The sequence below is a fragment of the Homo sapiens genome, chromosome 7 (genome assembly GCF_000001405.40).
Source record: "Homo sapiens chromosome 7, GRCh38.p14 Primary Assembly".
Lineage (NCBI taxonomy): Eukaryota > Metazoa > Chordata > Mammalia > Primates > Hominidae > Homo > Homo sapiens.
In genome coordinates this window covers 35,970-56,030 of record NC_000007.14, presented here as the reverse complement: position 1 = coordinate 56,030, position 20,061 = coordinate 35,970, and the positions used below count along the sequence as shown (strand labels likewise).

The 20,061-nt window shown below is 46.8% G+C and overlaps 1 annotated feature.

The window, feature by feature from the left end:
* Window positions 14,590-15,533: an enhancer, noted in NCBI's record as "NANOG-H3K4me1 hESC enhancer chr7:40498-41441 (GRCh37/hg19 assembly coordinates)". NCBI's record gives its function as "activates a minimal SCP1, AML or CMV promoter by ChIP-STARR-seq in naive H9 embryonic stem cells {active_cell/tissue: H9 hESC(naive)}" and the evidence as "EXISTENCE:reporter gene assay evidence [ECO:0000049][PMID:30033119]".

Here is a 20,061-nt window from a genome sequence, read left to right as displayed (position 1 = left end):
AGTGTGAGTTGGGTGCAAAAATCCTAGAGAAGTAGCTACGGTCTGAGCTGCCAGGCACCAGGAGCGGGAGCTGTGAGCATACTTGTGGCCTCCCACCTGAGGCCACAGGAGGGAGACTCATAGGATGTCCTCCCTTTGCACTTGCTGCTTAAGGTCTCAGGGTGTCAGAGATGAGGACGTGTGTTCATGTGATCCTGCCCCTAGTGGGTCAGCTCATGAAGCAGGGAAGGCTGCCCAAGCTGACGCTAAACTCCCATAACTACCCTTGACCAAGCAGGTCTCTGAAAGGGGACTGTGAGTCCCACTGCAGGAAGGGACAAAGCTTAAAGCACCAATTCGCATTTTATCCTGAAGACCTGAGAGTCTTTCAAACTTATAGAGGTTTTTTTAGTTAAAGAAGAGGAGAAAATGTAAAGAAAAAGGAAAGGATAGGAATAAAATAGACCTTGAAAACCCAATGGAAACAAACCAAATTTGGCTTCTGATAATATAATTTCATAATGCTTCATTGAAATATCATGTACTTACAGAAAAGTGCTCAGTAGATTTTGAAAAACCAAGCTCACCCTGTGGCCATTACCTGGACACTGGAGCAGGGTGTGAGCTGCCCGCAGTGCCTCTGTGGTCCCTCCAGCGTGGCCTCCTCCAGGGAAAACACTGTCCTTACCCCAGCAGCACAGACTAGTTTCTTCGTGGAATTTCTTTTTCCCAAGGACCACAAAGGAAGCAGGGAGGCAGGGAATGGGGGGCAGTTTCCCTTCTTAAAATAATGTGACTGGAGGGAAAGTGGATACAGGCGGGAACCCTCAGCAAGCTCCAAGGAGCCCCACCGCCATTCAGTATCCGTCACGGAGCAGCCACAGTGAGGCCAAAGTTGCAGCTCACATTAAGAACAATTAACAGTTTTACACCACTTTTCCACATTCTTTTTAAAAAATTACGTTCTTGCATTATTTTCCCCATATGGATTTTTAAACATGAGAGTGCCTAAGTCGATTGGACGGAAGTTCAATCTGGTCTTGATTACCTCTGACTTCGTGAGTTAATGAGCGCTAAGTAACTCACCTTTCCTTTAATCTGGAAGCAGTGGCCCTGCCTGTGGGGTGGGGGACACAGGCTGAGAGTGGACCACAGGCTCCGAATCACCTATTCTGGTGCATGTGTCCTACTCTCAGGCCACAGATCCACAGGGTCAGACTGAGCTGCGGGGAGTGTGGCCCCACCCTGTTTCCCTTAAAGCAGGTTACAGAGGATTGACCTAGTGGGGTCACAGAGAGCACCGTGAGCCTGAGACCCAGGCTCTGGTCCTACCTTATCACGAACTCACTGTGGGCCTCAGCCTGGCCAGACCTCTCTCAGGGTCTCTGTTTCTGCATCTGTATAATGAGGCCCCATCTGTAGTGTTAGATGGAAACTGAGTAAGGACTAGAGGGGTTGGGGGTGATTCACCAACTCTTTACCCCTCAACAGAGCAGAAGGACAGCTTCCAGAGTGTGCTTCCAGAGGGCCCTGGGCGTGTTGAGTCCTAAGAGGAAGGAACCCCCATCATCATGGTACATGCTGTGTAACCCCACAGCCTGGCTCACTGTGTCCACTGGAACCCACGTCCTTGGGGTCAGAAACCTGGAAACAGCCACTCTGTTCACAGAGAAGCAACCTTTCAGTGTTTTCCTTTCCCCTTACCACAGGGATGGCCGTGTTAGAATTACACTCCTCTACACCAGCCAGGTGAGTTACTGCAGGCTTATGACTTCATAGGTCACCTGGCATGCATTTGTAACAAAATCTTTGATGTGATAAAGCAACAGACTCCATTGCAAAAAACATTAGCAATCTCTCCTCACTAAGTCACAACTTTGATAAAGTGTTTTCTATTCAAAAAACTTAGTGCAATTATGGTGCAGAGCTGAGATCTCAGCACAATTTCATTTACAATCAACCTGGCATCTCCAATGCACTAATTGAAGCATTATCACTATTGTCTTCCGTATGAAATATGCGCAAAGTATATTTCTTTCCCTTTATCCCCCCAGTAAATAGCATATTCTGGACATGTAGCATTTCAATGAATGTGGCAGTAGGCCACGGGGACCACTGACCCTCACACCTGAGAGGACACTGAGGCCCTTGGAGGTGGAGAGACTGCCCAATGCACACAGCTCATGTCAGTGCCTCTGTGATGGCTTTCCCCCCAGGTGACTGTCACCCCAACATTTTACTGACACACACAGAGTTCCTGGCTCTGTCCTCCCACCAGCAAACTTTGTGCATAGCCAGAGTCTCCTCCCGCCTGCTGCACTTGGGGTTTATAGAGAGCACTTAGGCCTGCAGGAGCTAAGATTGCACAACTGCACTCCAGGCTGGGGAACAGAGTGAAACTTCATTAAAAAAAAAATCCACAGCTAAGTTGATGCAAAAGCAGCATCTAAATCATAGACTAGAAAAAGCAGCCACCACATGTGACAGTGAAGCTTCAGAAACTGCCTTTGGGAGGTAGGAGCAAGGCAAAGATATGCCCTTTCTATGTACCCTTTCTATGCAACCTCGGGTAGAGTTACCGGCTTGTGCAATAATGCAAGAAAATGAACTAAATGTGGAACAATGGGTCAGGAATAAAAGGAAACCATCATTCTTTATTGACCCTATAAAAATCTACATTTTAAAAGGTCATAACAAATAAGAGAGTTCAACTGGACACAAGACTAGTAAACAAAACTATCAGCAGTACCCAATTCATAATTATAAAAAGCAATTTCATTTGACATCAACAAAAGTTATCAGTTACCTAGGAATACATCAACTAAGACAAGGGTAATAACTTTATGAAAAAATAAAGATATCAGTGAAGAATATTTTTAAAGATGTCTATAAATGGGGAGGTGTGGTGAGACCTGCATGGTAAAGCGATGAAGTCTCCCCAAGTGAGGTGATGAATTTGATGCAGTTCCCACCAAGCACACACCCATGGGGACACGTTCACCTGCATCTGTTTACGTGTTTTTTAAAACTTGACTGGCTGACTCCAAAAACAATACAGGACAATAATAACCAAGATACTTTTAAAGGAGAAAAAGTAAGTCGAGGATACATTACACCAGATATAAGCACACCATATAAATCCATTGCAATTACAGCCACATGATATCTTGGTAGAAGAGAAAAATAGACCAAAGGAAAAGAGTACAGAGCACCAAAGAAGACCCTCTTCTGTGTTGAAACTTAGTCTATTAGAAAACAAATAAAGTGCCCAATCGTTTGGGCAATTGGCTCTTCATTTTGAAAAAAGATACCTTTAGATCTATACCTCAAGACATACACAAAGGTTATTTTCAGGTGGACTGAGAAACTTTATAAATATAGCAAGACTCTTTAGATGAAAATATAAGAAAATATATTTTGAATACATTTTGTGGATTTCGCAAAATACATAGAAAAATCACATGATCAAAAGATTAATAAAATTGACTAAAATTTAATAATAAATATATCTATAATAATTTTTTAAAAAATAATAATAAAATCTAAACTTTCCCTTCCACAAATGATATGGAGACTAGGATAAGGTATTTGTAAAACATCTTGTGAACTAAAGATTTCTATTGAGAGTACTTAAAGGTTTTTAAGTGGTGCTGGCTCCCCTCTTAGGGGACTCTTAGTTCAAACAGGTTTCCTCTCATGGCTGAAGTGTTGAGTGCCTTTTCCACTCCCGTTCTCTCACAAGTGTGCAGAGGCAACTGACGTGTGATGTCACTGCAGACTGAATACAGAATTCCACATGGGAAACTTGTTTCCCAGGAGCCAGGCAGCAGGAGCATTCACACATCTAAACAATGCTACTCCTGTCACCAGTTTCTAAAGAAAATATAGTTATTTTCGTAACATGTTATGTTATGAACATAACATAATCCTTGATGTTCATTAGCATAATGGATTCATTATGAGTTTTCACTAATTGGTTACTTAATGTGATGGTTACTATTGTCAACTTGATTGGATTGAAAGATGCAGAGTATTGTTCCTGGGTGCGTCCGTGAGAGTGTTGCCAAGGGAGATTCACATTTGAGTCAGTGGACCTGGGAGAGGCAGACCCACCCTCAATCTGGGTGGGCATCATCTCATCAGTTGCCAGTGTGGCTGGGATAAAAGCAGGCAGAGAAATGCGGAAGGACGAGACTGGCTGAGTCTTCCGGCCTTCATCTTTCTCCCACGCTGGATGCCTCCTGCCCTTGAATACCGGACTCCAAGTTCTTCAGTTTTGGACTCTTGGATTTACACCAGTGGTTTGCCAGGGGCTCTCGGGCCTTTGGCCCCAGACTGAAGGCTGCACTGTCGGCTTCCCTACTTTTGAGGTTTTGGGACTCAGACTGGCTTCCTTGTTCCTCGGCTTGCAGCCTACTGTGGGACTTCACCCTGTGATCGTGTGAGTCAATACTACTTAATAAACTCCCTTTCATATACACTTCTATCCTATTAGTCCTGTCCCTCTAGAGACTAATACTCTTAAGATTTTAAATTGTTCTCCATTTTCATCTTTAACATGGTAAATGTTAATAGATAAACCATACTTATTAGGGTTCTCAATTACTTCTTATTATTTTTTTAATTGACACAATATGGCACATATTCGTGGGGTTCACAGGGATGCTGCAGTACATAGAATGAATCAAGGATTAGATCAGGGTGGCGAACACATCCATCGTCTCAAACACGATAATTTCTCCTCCTAGCTATCTGAAACTATGAATTATAGTTAACTATAGTCACCCTACAGTGCCAAAGAACCATAGGACTTATTTTTCCCATCCAGCTGTAATTCCATATCCTTTAAAAAATCTCTCCCTATCCGTCCCCTCTCCCTCCCCTTCCCAGCCTCTAATATCCTCTGTTCTACTTTTTACTTCTATGAGAGCAACATTTTTTAAAGTTTCCACATGTCAGTGAGAACATTCAGTATTTAACTTTCTGTTCCTGGCTTATTTCACTTACCATAATGTCCTCCAGTTCCATCCGTTTTGCCATGAATGACAGGACTTCATTTTTTTTTACAGATGACTAGTATTCCACTGTGTGTATATACCACGTTTTTTATCCAGTCATCTGCTGTTGGACACCTAGGTTGATTCCACGTCTTGACTATTGTCAATAAACATGGGGTTGCAGATATTGGTTTGATATACCGATTCCTTTCCTTTGGATAAATGTCCAGGAGTGGGATTGCTGGATCTTATGGTAGTTCTGATGTGGGGCAGGTGAGCCCCAAGGTGGAGTTTAGTCTGCAAGGGTTCTTGCCTTTGCCCAGGAAAGAATTCAAGGGCAAGCCAAAGGAAGAAGAAAACAGCTTTATTTATTTAGAGACGGAATCTTGCTCTGTCACCCAGGCTGGAGTGCAGTGGAGCGATCTCGGCTCATTATAACCTCCGCCTCCTGGGTTGAAGAGATTCTCCTGCCTCAGCCTCCCAAGTAGCTGGGATTACAGGCACGCACCACGACGCCCACCTAATTTTTGTATTTTTAGTAGAGACGGGGTTTCAACATTTTGGCCAGGCTGGTTTTGAATTTCCCACCTCGTGATCCGCCCACCTCAGCCTCCCAAAGTGCTGGGATGACAGGCGTGAGCCACTGTGCCCGGCCAAAAACAGCTTTATTAATAAAGAAGAAATGTTACAGCTCTGAGACGGTTCCTGCAGAGCAGGGCTACCCTCTCTGCCCTGTAAGAAGAGAAGAGCAGCTCGGGGCAGTTTTGCAGTCATGTTTAATCCACTTTTAATTTCACGCGGATTAAAGACGGTTTATGCAGAAATTTCTAAGGAAGGCATAGTAACTTTTGGGTCATTGAGTCATTGCCATGGAAAGGAGCGGTAACTCCCGGTGTCGTCATGGCAACGATAAACTTCCATGGCACTGGTGGGTGTGTCTGATTGAAAGCTGCTTCCGCCCCAGCCCTGTTTTAGCTAGTCCTCAATCTGGTCCGGTGTTCGAGCCCCACCTCTGGAGTTGAGTCCCACCTCCTACCTCAGTTCTGTTTGTAGTTCTGTGAGGAACCTCCACACTGCTTTCCACAGTAGCTGTACTGGTTTACATTCCCACCAACAGTGTCAAGAGTTCCCTTGGTTATTTTTTGTCTTTTTGATGAACGCCATCACAACTGGGGTGAGATGATATTTCTTTTTTTTTTTTTAATTTTTTTTTTAATTATTATACTTTAAGTTTTAGGGTACATGTGCACATTGTGCAGGTTTGTTACATACGTATACATGTGCCATGCTGGTGTGCTGCACCCATTAACTCGTCATTTAGCATTAGGTATGTCTCCCAGTGCTATCCTTCCCCCCTCCCCCCACCCCACAACAGTCCCCAGGGTGTGATGTTCCCCTTCCTGTTTCTATGTGTTTTCATTGTTCAATTCCCACCTATGAGTGAGAACATGAGGTGTTTGGTTTTTTGTTCTTGCGATAGTTTACTGAGAATGATGATTTCCAATTTCATCCATGTCCCTACAAAGGACATGAACTCATCATTTTTTATGGCTGCATAGTATTCCATGGTGTATATGTGCCACATTTTCTTAATCCAGTCTATCATTGTTGGACATTTGGGTTGGTTCCAAGTCTTTGCTATTGTGAATAGTGCTGCAGTAAACATACGTGTGCATGTGTCTTTATAGCAGCATGATTTATAGTCCTTTGGGTATATACCCAGTAATGGGATGGCTGGGTCAAATGGTATTTCTAGTTCTAGATCCCTGAGGAATCGCCACACTGACTTCCACAATGGTTGAACTAGTTTACAGTCCCACCAACAGTGTAAAAGTGTTCCTATTTCTCCACATCCTCTCCAGCACCTGTTGTTTCCTGACTTTTTAATGATCGCCATTCTAACTGGTGTGAGATGGTATCTCATTGTGGTTTTGATTTGCATTTCTCTGATGGCCAGTGATGGTGAGCATTTTTTCATGTGTTTTTTGGCTGCATAAATGTCTTCTTTTGAGAAGTGTCTGTTCATATCCTTTGCCCACTTTTTGATGCGGTTGTTTGTTTTTTTCTTGTAAATTTGTTTGAGTTCATTGTAGATTCTGGATATTAGCCCTTTGACAGATGAGTAGGTTGCAAAAATTTTCTCCCATGTTGTAGGTTGCCTGTTCACTCTGATGGTAGTTTCTTTTGCTGTGCAGAAGCTCTTTAGTTTAATTAGATCCCATTGGTCAATTTTGGCTTTTGTTGCCATTGCTTTTGGGGTTTTAGACATGAAGTCCTTGCCCATGCCTATGTCCTGAACGGTAATGCCTAGGTTTTCTTCTAGGGTTTTTATGGTTTTAGGTCTAACGTTTAAGTCTTTAATCCATCTTGAATTGATTTTTGTATAAGGTGTAAGGAAGGGATCCAGTTTCAGCTTTCTACATATGGCTAGCCAGTTTTCCCAGCACCATTTGTTAAACAGGGAATCCTTTCCCCATTGCTTGTTTTTCTCAGGTTTGTCAAAGATCAGATAGTTGTAGATATGCAGCGTTATTTCTGAGGGCTCTGTTCTGTTCCATTGATCTATATCTCTGTTTTGGTACCAGTACCATGCTGTTTTGGTTACTGTAGCCTTGTAGTATAGTTTGAAGTCAGGTAGTGTGATGCCTCCAGCTTTGTTCTTTTGGCTTAGGATTGACGTGGCGATGCAGGCTCTTTTTTGGTTCCATATGAACTTTAAAGTAGTTTTTTCCAATTGTGTGAAGAAAGTCATTGGTAGCTTGATGGGGATGGCATTGAATCTATAAATTACCTTGGGCAGTATGGCCATTTTCATGATATTGATTCTTCCTACCCATGAGCATGGAATGTTCTTCCATTTGTTTGTATCCTCTTTTATTTCCTTGAGCAGTGGTTTGTAGTTCTCCTTGAAGAGGTCCTTCACATCCCTTGTAAGTTGGATTCCTAGGTATTTTATTCTCTTTGAAGCAATTGTGAATGGGAGTTCACTCATGATTTGGCTCTCTGTTTGTCTGTTGTTGGTGTATAGGAATGCTTGTGATTTTTGCACATTGATTTTGTATCCTGAGACTTTGCTGAAGTTGCTTATCAGCTTAAGGAGATTTTGAGCTGAGACAATGGGGTTTTCTAGATATACAATCATGTCATCTGCAAACAGGGACAATTTGACTTCCTCTTTTCCTAATTGAATACCCTTTATTTCCTTCTCCTGCCTAATTGCCCTGGCCAGAACTTCCAACACTATGTTGAATAGGAGTGGTGAGAGAGGGCATCCCTGTCTTGTGCCAGTTTTCAAAGGGAATGCTTCCAGTTTTTGCCCATTCAGTATGATATTGGCTGTGGGTTTGTCATAGATAGCTCTTATTATTTTGAAATACGTCCCATCAATACCTAATTTATTGAGAGTTTTTAGCATGAAGGGTTGTTGAATTTTGTCAAAGGCCTTTTCTGCATCTATTGAGATAATCATGTGGTTTTTGTCTTTGGCTCTGTTTATATGCTGGATTACATTTATTGATTTGCGTATATTGAACCAGCCTTGCATCCCAGGGATGAAGCCCACTTGATCATGGTGGATAAGCTTTTTGATGTGCTGCTGGATTCGTTTTGCCAGTATTTTATTGAGGATTTTTGCATCAATGTTCATCAAGGATATTGGTCTAAAATTCTCTTTTTTGGTTGTGTCTCTGCCCGGCTTTGGTATCAGAATGATGCTGGCCTCATATAATGAGTTAGGGAGGATTCCCTCTTTTTCTATTGATTGGAATAGTTTCAGAAGAGATGATATTTCAGCATTGTGGTTTTGACCCTGAGAAGAAACAGTTTGAGCATCTGTGGTGCTGGGAAGTTCTTGAATGCCACCCTCAGGAGTTCTAGGGTCACCCTTCTGAGGACGACAGGAGTGGAGGAAGGGCTTCCAGCAAGAGGCAGACCTTACCAATGAGTAGAACCTGGCAGCAAGAGAAGAACTAGATGTGGGGGCAGGAGGGTCAGATGGGAGAGGACCCGCTCATGGCAGGTGCCCTACCTGCAGACGCTGCAGTCCTCCCCACACTCCAGGCCCACCGCACCACAGGGCACAGCCTGGCAGCCTTCTCTCAGCCACGGTCCCACTCAGCACCTCTTGTACATGTGGAAGGGGCTCCATGCTCTGCAGAGGAGCAGAGGAAGTGGGGATGTAGGGAAAATAGAGAGCGGTGGAAAACTGGGTGGGCCACAAATGGCCAGGATCTTCCCTCCGCCATCGTGTGTGGGCTGGGTGGTCACAGTGTCCTCAGAGCCTTGACATCTGCACCTGTGAGATGACACTTGCCTGCCCACCTCTGAGCATCCCAGTTGTGCCCACAGCCCCGGGTGAGGGCAGGGCCGAGACGTGTGCCCAGATTGCTGTATTGATGTTGAATAGACCTGCTGGAAAGGGTTCCAGACGCTATCACACATGGAGTGGGACAGGATGAGCATTCCAACCTTTCATTGAAAGTTCTGTTTATATGTAGCTGCCAAACACCTTGGTGAGTGGACTATTCTTCCAAGATGGAAATGAACTTGTCCTACCCAAAATGGGGCAGTGCTGTGGTTCAGCAGGAGACACACCCCCAACCCAAAGCAGGTGTGTGAGGAGGGGGTGGCAAAGGGGATGCATGCCCCTATCACAATGGGTTTTCGTTCACAGCAGGACTCCCTGGAGGTCCTCAACCAGGTGGCACCTGAGTCGGGGCCTGGGGACTGGCTAGAGTCAGCTGACAGCAGCTGGAGCACACGTCAGAAAAACACAACCCACTGGCCTAGAGCTCCCGTCCCTGCCCTGTCTCTAACCTGGCCTTTGATGCCTTTTATTTTTCTTTCCTCAAATGCACATTATTAACTGCAGATGCCCAGCTGAGAAGATGAGAGAAAGTTAATGAAATTACACGAGTGCTTTGCTGAGTTCTCTTTCAAACTACAGCTTGTTAAGTTAAAACAGCAGTGTGAAGGGTGTAGCTCTCTGTGAAGTTTCTGGATGTGGCCCTGGCCTCAGGGAGGCTTGTGGGGTGGTCAAGGAAGCCTGGCAGAAGGTAGTTCATGGCAGAGACACCAGCCACATGTGGGCCTTCCTGTGTGGGCCTTGCCTGTGTGGGCCTGTCTTTCCCTTGCTGGTCTCCTGTCTCAAGTTCTCCCATCCCTGCTTCTCACGTCTGTGGGCCTGACCACTCACTGCCTTGATACACCCAGCTCCTTGCCCTCCAGCCTGGGCTCAGGTGCACTGCCCCGCAGGACTACAGGGTCATTTCCATGACTCAGTTCCTGGTTTGCCTGTCACCCCCCACCTCCCCTTCTGCAATTGCCTGTCCTCCCACCTGGTTTTATTTTCTTCATTTCCAGTTTTTATTTCTCATGCTTTTTGTTTCTTTTCCCTGTAGGAGTGTGAGCCCTGCGAGGAAGGAAACCCCAGCTCGTTAGGCATTCGTTAGTGTGAGCAAGTTGCTGCCATCAGTCAGATGGGTAACGTGGTGCCTGCCTTTGGGGCTGTGAAGGGGATTGAATGAGCACAGCTGTGTGTTTGAGAGTGCCTAGATGTGAAGTGTGTTAGCCTTAGAGCATTGCACGTGGTAAGCACTATTGTGAGTGCCTAGATGTGAAGTGTGTTAGTCTTAGAGCATCGCACATGGTAAGCCCTATTATCATGACCATTGTCAGCATTCACTGCTGTGTACCCAGCACCTTGCACGGGGCGTGGCACGTGGGAACCCCCAGTTGACAGAGTCCAGTGAAAGGAAGAATGAGTGAGTGAGCGGGTGAGTGGGTGAGGGATGGTGCCCTGCACAGGGGACCTCCCCCAGCACGATGCAACCTGTGCTCTCAGGCCCAGCCTCTGTCATTTAGTCGCTTTTTGTTTCAAGTTCCCAGAGTGAGTAGTAAATACTTCAACCAGTCAGAGTTCTCAAAAAAAGCTCAGTGAACATGTGTAATGATTCATTCAGCATTTGCTCAGTGCCTACATAAAGTAGGCTGAGGCTAGAAATGGCAACTAGCACATACACCATGCCCTGGGGATCGAAATATAACAGAGGAGAAAGCCATGTAAAATGAATTTTCAAAGGCATTTGAGACCTAAGATCTCGGGGAAATGACTGTGGGACGGTGGGATTACTGGCGTTCCTTCCAGATGCTACAGATGATGCCCCGTGGCAGCTCTTCCCACAGAGGGTGACTTTTATGAAGTCCTCAGGGGCTGCACCTCAGCATTTGGCAGCCCAGCTTGAACCCGAGCCCCTTTACTTCACAGCTCTGAACCTCACTTCTTCAACTGTGAAATGGGAACAGGAATGGCAAAGCCTGCCTTGGAGGCTGCCTGAGTACCGAGGGACCCAATCAACGCGTGCAGTGTGCGTGGCAGCGCGGGAAGCTGCATACTGTTCACATCTCCTCCTCTTCTCCAACAGTCCTGGGTGCAGTGTGTGCGGGAAGCTGCATACTATTCACGTTTCCTCCTCTTCTCCAAAAGTCCTTATGTCGTCCATGGCATGGGCGGGAAGCTGCATACTGTTCACATTTCCTCCTCTTCTCCAACAGTCCTGGGTGCAGTGTGTGCGGGAAGCTGCATACTGTTCACATCTCCTCCTCTTCTCCAACAGTCCTGGGTGCAGTGTGTGCGGGAAGCTGCATACTATTCACATTTCCTCCTCTTCTCCAACAGTCCTTGTGTTGTCCATGGCATGGGCGGGAAGCTGCACACTGTTCACGTCTCCTCTTCTCCAACAGTCCTTATGTCGTCCATGGCATGGGCGGGCCAGCACTGGGCCTCAGTGCTTCTGATTGTGCCATTTCAACTTCAGTGAGACGCATTTTTTTCCCACTGGCAGCTCAGGTAAGTCCCTTACCTCCCCAAAACAGCACCCTGTGAAATCACCTTCTTGCAGCCGGGTCAGACAGTTCGCCTTGTAGGTTTAATGAACGGTCTCCTGCATTTATCTCAGCTACTGCAGCCCAGTGTCTGGGGAAAGGCTGAGGGTGGTCTGAGGGCTGTGCTGGGCACTTTTTCAGGCTGCCAAAGCCTGTTCTTGGGAGGCAGCTGACCTCATCAAAAGGAGTTCAAGCAAGGGGCTGAGGGGCCGCATCTCCCGAGCACGGCAGACCTGGGGAATCAGTTTGGCCTTCCTTGTTCAGGTTGGGGACACCTCGCCCCATCACCCATCCCACCACACTAGGCTCTGCATCTCCCTGTCTGCTCCTTTACAACAGTTTACTATGGAATGCCCTCAGGGATACAGGAGTGCATCCAGGTGAAGCCTGTGGGGGAAATCCTACCACGTCTGCCATTTGCTGAACTTCTCAAAACTTAGCCTCAGGACCATTAAGTCTCCCCTGGTTTTGGTGGGGATGACCAGCTTTATGCCCCATTTCCTTATGCCTGGGCATGCGATGGACAGGACACTGACCTCTCCATTCCCAGTGCAGGCATCCGGGGGCAAATACTCCCTGGCCACCTTTGACTCTCAGCTGGCTGCTCCATGCTGCCCGCGTCTTAAGACCAGGAAATACTCCATATTTGCCCCTTTCTATTGGCCTTTTCCTGAGCCCAGCTTAGAACATGCAAAACCCAACTATTACTGTAACATAATTAATTACTCCTATTCCTACGTCACTGTTAATAAGATCTCCTAGGCCATTTCCACGTCTCAGGTCTAATGAAGGCGCTAGAAACGCAGAAGAGAAGTAAGATACACTGTGCCAGCCTTTGGAGGCTGCCGAGTAGATGACCCTGGAATGTTCCCTTTTCCGCACTGCGCTGGACATGCCAGTTAAATGACCCTCAGTATTACCTTTTCCACATTGCACTTGACAGAACACCGATTTGATCACAGAAAAGCACTGAACTGACTCATAAATTTGGGGCAGGTTCCCTACTTTACTTTCGCCTTGGAGATGAGCACACATTTGTTTGTGAAAGCTTCAGAGAAGTTTTGCAATAATCAATCATTTTTACTCAGGGTTTCCTGAAATTTCCTGATTATAGAAATCAATTTTTAAAATATTTTTTGTAGAATGATACTAACATTCCTCAAAATACTGGTGATCCAATAAACGTGGATCATGGCTACTGTGGATTCAGTGTCAGAGACAAGGAAACCAGGGCTTCTGAGGCAGAATTCACTAGGTTCACCTTGGGAGTCGACTGCAGAGTGAAATGAACCAGAGGGCACCCTTGCCCACTCTTACGTCTGGGCCTTTATGTCCCCACCTTTTCTCTGTTTTTACTGGTGTCTGCACACTGTATTTGTGTGGCGTGTCAAGGCACAAATGTACAGGGAATGTCAAATCAGAAAAGTTCACTCTCTGCCTTGGCAGCTCTCATCTGCAGGAGTGTGTGTGCACGGGGGTAGTGGTGCAGCCAGTGAGCACAGCACATTCAGCTGGCAGCACCCCGAGATGAGGATGAAGTGACTGGGAAGGTCACAGGAGAGGAGGGCTGCAGGTCCCGGGTTCTTCATGGAGGACAAGGTGTTTGTATGGGGTCCTGGAGGAGAGGCACGAGGACCTCTGCTTTATCCTAGCTTGCAGCAGGCTAGAAACACCCAACAGATAACTCCCCAAAAGGGAATAACATGGGACAACTTTGCCCCTTTGACCCTACAAATAGGTTTTATTTCCAGTACGATGAGCAAGCACGCTGAACTGTCTTGCAGTTGCCCAATGGGTTCTTCCCACCCACTGTACAGACAAAACCAATTCACCGAGACTGTGGTACTGCACTAAAGAAACAGTTTAATTGATGCAGCTAGCCACGTGGGAGAAGGAGCTGCTACTCAAATCAGTCTCCCAGAAGAACGGGAGGTTTGGGTTTTTCAAGGATTGTTTGGTGGGCAGAGGACCAGGGAGTGGGTGCGGTTGATTGTTTAGGGATGCAGTCATAGGGTGTAGAAAACGATCCTGTCACGGAGTCTGCCTCTGGGTGGGGAGGTGGGAGTGCATAGGACCAGTTGAGTCATGAGCCATGGGTCTGGGTAGGGTCAGTCGGTTGGCAGAATGCAAAAATCTGGAAAACAGCTGAAAAAACCAAACTCAGGCTCTACAATAGTGTTGTTATCTACAGAAGCAATTGGAGAAGTCACAAATTGTGTGACTTCTAGCCATATGACTTCTGAACAATAAGGAATTACGGAAACTATGTCTACATTTTAGCAGAGTTCGGGCTCCTCCCGAAATCCTAATCACGTGGCCTTTCATTCGTTTTTGGTCCTCAAGGAAGGAGGGCTTTAGTTTTAGAGAGGGACTAGTATTGTTTTATAACTAAATTTCTCCCCGGATTAGTTTAGCCTGTGCCCAAGCATGAGCAGGACAGCCTGCCTGTGAGGCTAGAGGTAAGGTGGAGTCAGTCATGCGTGACCTCCCTCGCTGTCATAAGCTTTGCAAAGGTGGTTGCAGTCTTTCTCTGGTCAGAACACATGGTGCAGCCATCTGAGATCTTTGCAAATGGACAGTAGCAAGAGAAGTGGAGAAAGAGGCCAGAGTGTGGTGAGTTCCACCTCACTGAAGGCCAGCAAGGGGCGTGGATTGGCAGGATAGTATCCAGTGTGGAACACAGGAGGAGCACCAGTGAAGGGAAACCAGGTCGGGAGCATCAGCCGTGGGAAATCATAGAGGGAATCCTTGTTCTCCTGCTGCTTCCTGGGGTCTGCAGTCTCCCTGTCCATCAGACGCTGGCCCTCCTCGTGGCTTGCTGACTGTGCTTTATGAAATTCATGCTCACATTTCCCCATATTTTCTGAAGCAGTGGTGAGTCTGGTTCTTGACTGGTTTTGTTTCCAGACGGGTCCCTTCTGTCTTTTTACTCCCCACTTCCAGTGGGCACGTGGGTTTCCCAGGGCCTCAGGCCTTCTGTCTGCTCTAGGGGAAGCTGGGGACGTCTGGACTGTCCTCATAGAAGCGGAGACGTTTTGCTGCACCTTAGGGAATGGGGAGCAGTGGGGAGTCTTATGGAATCCCTGGTCTCTACTCCACCCCCGAGCTCCTGCTGAGAGGCCTGCTGTGCCTGTGCCCTCCCTGGGGGTGGCACAGTCCAGGATCTCCCCACCTGGCATCCTCTGAGGTGGATGCTCCTGCCTCTGAGACAGGCAGCCCTCTGCTTGCTGGCTGCTCCCCAGCATCTGTTTCTGACTCACTGCGCAAAACGGACAGGAAAGTTGAGGGTCCCTGCCCAGTGTCTGTCTCCAGGCACAGAGTCTCAGCGCCAGCTCTCAAAACTCTGTCTGCTCACCTGGGCAGCTCCAGGAGGCGGGGGAGGAGTCAGGAGCACAGCAGCCCCTTGAAACTTCCCAGGATGGCTGGTTTGGGGGTTTATCACATTATTTTTCTCCCTCTGGTTTTAGCCACTGTAGGCCAGTTTGTTCACAGATTTTTACCAACTTTGGCTCATTTCATTACCTTATCAGAGGTGGGAATTCTGAGGTCCCTAAGCCAGAGGCTTTCAGGGATGTGGCTCCCTCTGCCGCCCTGGCAGGGAGGGCGCAGGAGCCCCAGGTGGAGCCTCTGACCTAGATCCTTTGGCTCTAGAGCCTGGAGCCTTACCACAAGGCTGCCTGTGGGTTTGGCGTCGGCCTGGAGCCCAGGCTGCTGGTTATCTGGAGACAGCCTCCCTGTAAGATTTCTCTGAGACAAGAAACAATTATGCAAATTATCCTAATTCTGTTTTAAAGAATAGAGAGATTGATTGCAGAGACAAACCATTTAGGCAGGCAATGTAGAAGGTGTTTCCATGGCTAATCTGCCTTCAAAGGAGAGGGATTTTGTTTGTAAACTTCAGACCCAGAAAATTGATTGTTCTGTCAACTTTAGATAATTATCTGTCCTCCCTGAGGCCCTAAGCTTAGCAGAAATGTTCTTTCTCTGAATCAGTACTCAGCTTTGGATCTCTGTTGGGTTCCCTGTAGAGTGCTAAATCAGATTCCCCCAAAGCAGTGGATCAGGAGCCTTCCTCCAGCCACAGTGCCCATCCTGCCTGCAGAAGAATGGACAGAGGGATGGGAGGGCTGCAGAGCTGGCACTGTGTCCCTGGAGGGGCTGGTGGGGACTCACTGTTCGGGGGACAGGGGAGGCAGAGTCCACACTCAACTGCTGCGTGGAGATGGGCATGAAGGGCAGGCAGGTCTGGCCTTGGCCTTGCGGTTTGTTTCCATTAAAGACCTTCAAGACCAGAAAGGACCAATAGGGCTGGACTATGCAGGGAGAGAAGAGGTTCTAGGGAACTGAGTTCCGAAGTCTTCGTCTTCTCACTGTGCAATGGGGTTCGCCTATAAAGCAGGCTGCTTGTCCTCGGGAGAGCTCATTGTGGAGAAACATCACTGGACAGAGCCCCTCCTTATCTGCATCAGACTCCTCTGGTCTCCCCGGTTGCCTTTTTCTCTGCCCCTAAGGGCACCTGTTCCTGGAGAGGCTCTCAGGACAGTATCCTGGACACCCCCTGCCTGGACACCCCTTGCCTGGCACCCCTCCTCTCCACAATGTCATCAGAGAGCTCCACCTGCCCTTCTAGCCCCCTGGTCCAGCACTGCTGGTCATGAGGTTTGGGCCCTGTGACCTGCCCAGATCCAAGCTGTGGGGAAAGTTTGCTGAGACCAGTTTGGGGAACAGAGGGGCCTTGTTGTACCATTTGTTCTGGGCACAGGGGACCTCCTGCATCGTCTATCTCCTCCATGAGATGCTAGTTTCAGGGATTCCTTGGGGACACTGGAGAGCAGGGCTGGCTCAGGCAGGGGCCTGACCATAGTCCAGACAGTGCAGACCCTACCTGAGGTGCCACATGGGCCCTCATCAGTCTTCTCTTCACACAGTGGAGTCACTCCTGTGCCTCCCCTGTCTGCACTCCATTGAGCCGGGAAAGGCCTGCAGTAGCCAATGCCCACATTTGAGTTTCAAATGTGAATATACCCAGGGATTGCAATTTACCAAAAGACGAAGGAAAAGGCCTCTCCCAGTACTTGGTCAACATTATTCTGTGGTATTTTTCAGATGAAATTAGCATTTAAGCCAGTATACTTTTAGTAAAGCAGATTATGCTCCATAATGTGGGTGGGTCTCATCCAATCAGTTGAAGGCCTTAAAGGAAGAAATACTGACCTCCCAGGGGAAGAGGGAATTCTGCCCCTGGACTCAAGCCACTCTTCCTTGGATTCTAGCCTCTGTAATCACACGAGACAATTCTGGACATCTCCTCCTCTCTTTTCTGTTTCTCTGGAAAACCCTGACTAATGCAATTCTTGTTAAGCTGCTTTTAAGAAGTGTGAAGAAAATATTAAAAAGATGTAACTAAGAATTTTGAGTGGACGATCTAATTATTTCACACTGGCTGAGATCTCCCTGATGTTGACATTGCAATGACACTGTGCACTTCTTGGGGTAAGAAAAAGTGCAGTCTCAGTATCCCTCCCACTAAATAGGAAGGCAAATTGCCATTTCCCGAAAAGTCCAGAATAGTAAGTAGGTTGACGAGTAACTCTTGAAGTTACATAAGACAAATCAGTTGCAACAGAGGATCATAAACCCCTCGTGTATGGAAGGAAAACAAGTTTGTCAATGTGCAAACTGTAAGTCTAAGTTCCTACTTCTGTAAAAAGTAGAGTTTCCTCTTCAAAGACTTTCCTTCCCATCTCACTAGAAATAAATAGTAACTTCTCTTAGAAGCAAAATTTATTCAAAGACCCGTGCTAACATTCTTAAACATCTGCTAGCCCTAATAAAGAAATCAATGTACTTTATGTTCTTAGCTCCCACAATTTAGCCTAAATATTTGCCCTGGCATGCTTATACTAGTCCAAGCAAGCTTTAGGTCATTGCCTGTTCCTCTTCTTTATTCGAAGGTGTTTTTACTTTTTTCAGCATTCCACAAGTTACTTCCTCCTTCCTTTGTTCTCCTCTGCCTTTTCCTCTTTAAAAAAGTTCTAAGTTGCTAGCCAATCGGGACAAATACAGAATGTGAGGTCCCGTTCCAGCCACTGGAAACTGGACACAGCAGTAGGGTGGATGCGTCAGGTTATAAATGACCCTGTCTCCTTTGCTCAGTATACTGTTGTGGCAAAACTGCTGGCGAGTGTACACTTTCTGCAGAAATTAAAAAAAAAAAAATGGCCTTGCTGAGGAAATTAAATTTACATTCAAGTGCTATTTCTTTACCGCACTGGGAACAAGCATTTCAAACAATTTCAACCCTGCTGGACCGCATCAAGTGAGGGCCGGGATGGAAAAGCGGCCGTGCCGAGGTGCCCCGGAAGCAGCCTCCGGAGTGTGCCTCAGAGTTTCTGGCCATTTCAGCTAAGACTTTTCTTCTGACAGACTAGAAGTGAAAAAAAGAATTATTTACTTTGCTGGGAAATGTGACAAAAGGTTAAAATTCTACTAGTTCATAAAATATTTGAAGCTAACTTTGTTTTTATAAATAAAATTGTATTTACAATTTAAGTTTTAGTTCTCATCCTTGCTGTTATAAAAGTTATTCTAAGTTATGTCAGTCTTTGAGGGTAAATGTAGAGTATTTAAAATAGCTTATATTTGGAAAACTGAACAGTGTTTGTTGTCATTATTTTACTTTGTTCTTGACCACATTGGTCCCAGAAAAAGTCAAGGTCTTCACCCACGGATTCAAGATTCTTGTGGCAGCTGCTGAATTCTTTTCCAACAATGCTTGGGCCTCATCAGCGTCATGTTTATGCACTACCCCAGCCCCAACCACAGACATGGGCAGGAGGAACAGAGCTCTACCGTGTAGCGTCACTGCCAGTAAGAGTCTGGCTCTCCCATGAAGCATTACTCTTCCTCTGCATGTATTTTAGAATTTCAAAAGCCATTTGGCCTCCATTTCTTTAGATTGTGGATAAGATCCATAAACTTGTACTGGGGTCACTGTTCCTCCAGCCTCTTTAGCACGTATCTGCAGTCTCATTTCCAGGCTGTTTCCTCTATGGGCCACTGACTGCAGAATTCCCAGATGAATCCACTGCCCATTCCCTGTAGCCACATCTCCAAATCCACAGCCGTTCTCAGCAGCTGCCTGCACACTCACATCCCAGAGGTCAAGTTGCCACAGCTGGTGTGTGTTTCCAGCCACTAGGCAACCCCAGGTCTTCATCTGAGCACCCAGGGCCAGAAGTCTCACCCTGTCCCCCGTACCATCCCTTCCCAGCCAGCCACAGTTTCCTTCCTTCTGTTGCCCACACAGTGCTCTCAGCCCCAGATGCCCTTCCTGACACTTCCTCCCAAGGAAACCCAAGTCCTCCGTCAGGGTCCACCCAAATGTCCACACCCTCTGGTAGCCTGCCCAGCCCCAGAGGCTCCCCTGAGCTCCCTTCCCCCATTAGAGCCTACAGAGGCAGTGCTGCCCAGCAGACATCTCGGCTGGGAGTCAAACAGAGCAAGGCTATTTTGGTCCCTCTCTCCACTCTATGTGACCCTGAAATGTGCCCTGGCCTTAGGAAACATTCAGCTACATCAGAGAACGTGAGTATGCATGTGGTTTGTATAACACAGGCAAGACATGGTTTTTAGATACGTTCAGAATAGATAGTTACAGAGAACAGGTATGTTACATGTGGGAAGGAAGAGACACAAGGGCCAAGAGATACTTAATATGCATGAGGCTCCTGGGCACTAAATGTTCAATTCACAATGTGCCTTTATACAAGAGACACCTAAACATGCAGAACCATGGGGCCTTTGTTCACCACCATTCCTGGTGCCCATTCTGGTCCCATGCGTCCTCTGCCCAAGAAACACGTAGAACCCATGGCAGTGCGACAGCTGCTTCTTGGCAACTCCACCATGATCAGGCACACTTGTCCCATGTCTGTCCCGTTGAGCCGGTGTGTGTCATAAGCCCTTCAGCTGTGAGCACTCTTGCCCAGACCTCGGCTCTGGTCCTCGTGGTCACACCTGAGTGGGTGAGGTTGACTAGCAGAGAAAGAAGAGAACTGATGAATGTTGACAGCACAGGAATCAGGTCATACGGCCCTCCCATCTCCTTCCCTCAGCTTCTTGCTGTGTTTTATGAATGGATTTTATAAACCTGTGATTCGAGCATCCTCAGTTGCTTCTCGAGCCTTTCCGCTCCATGAAC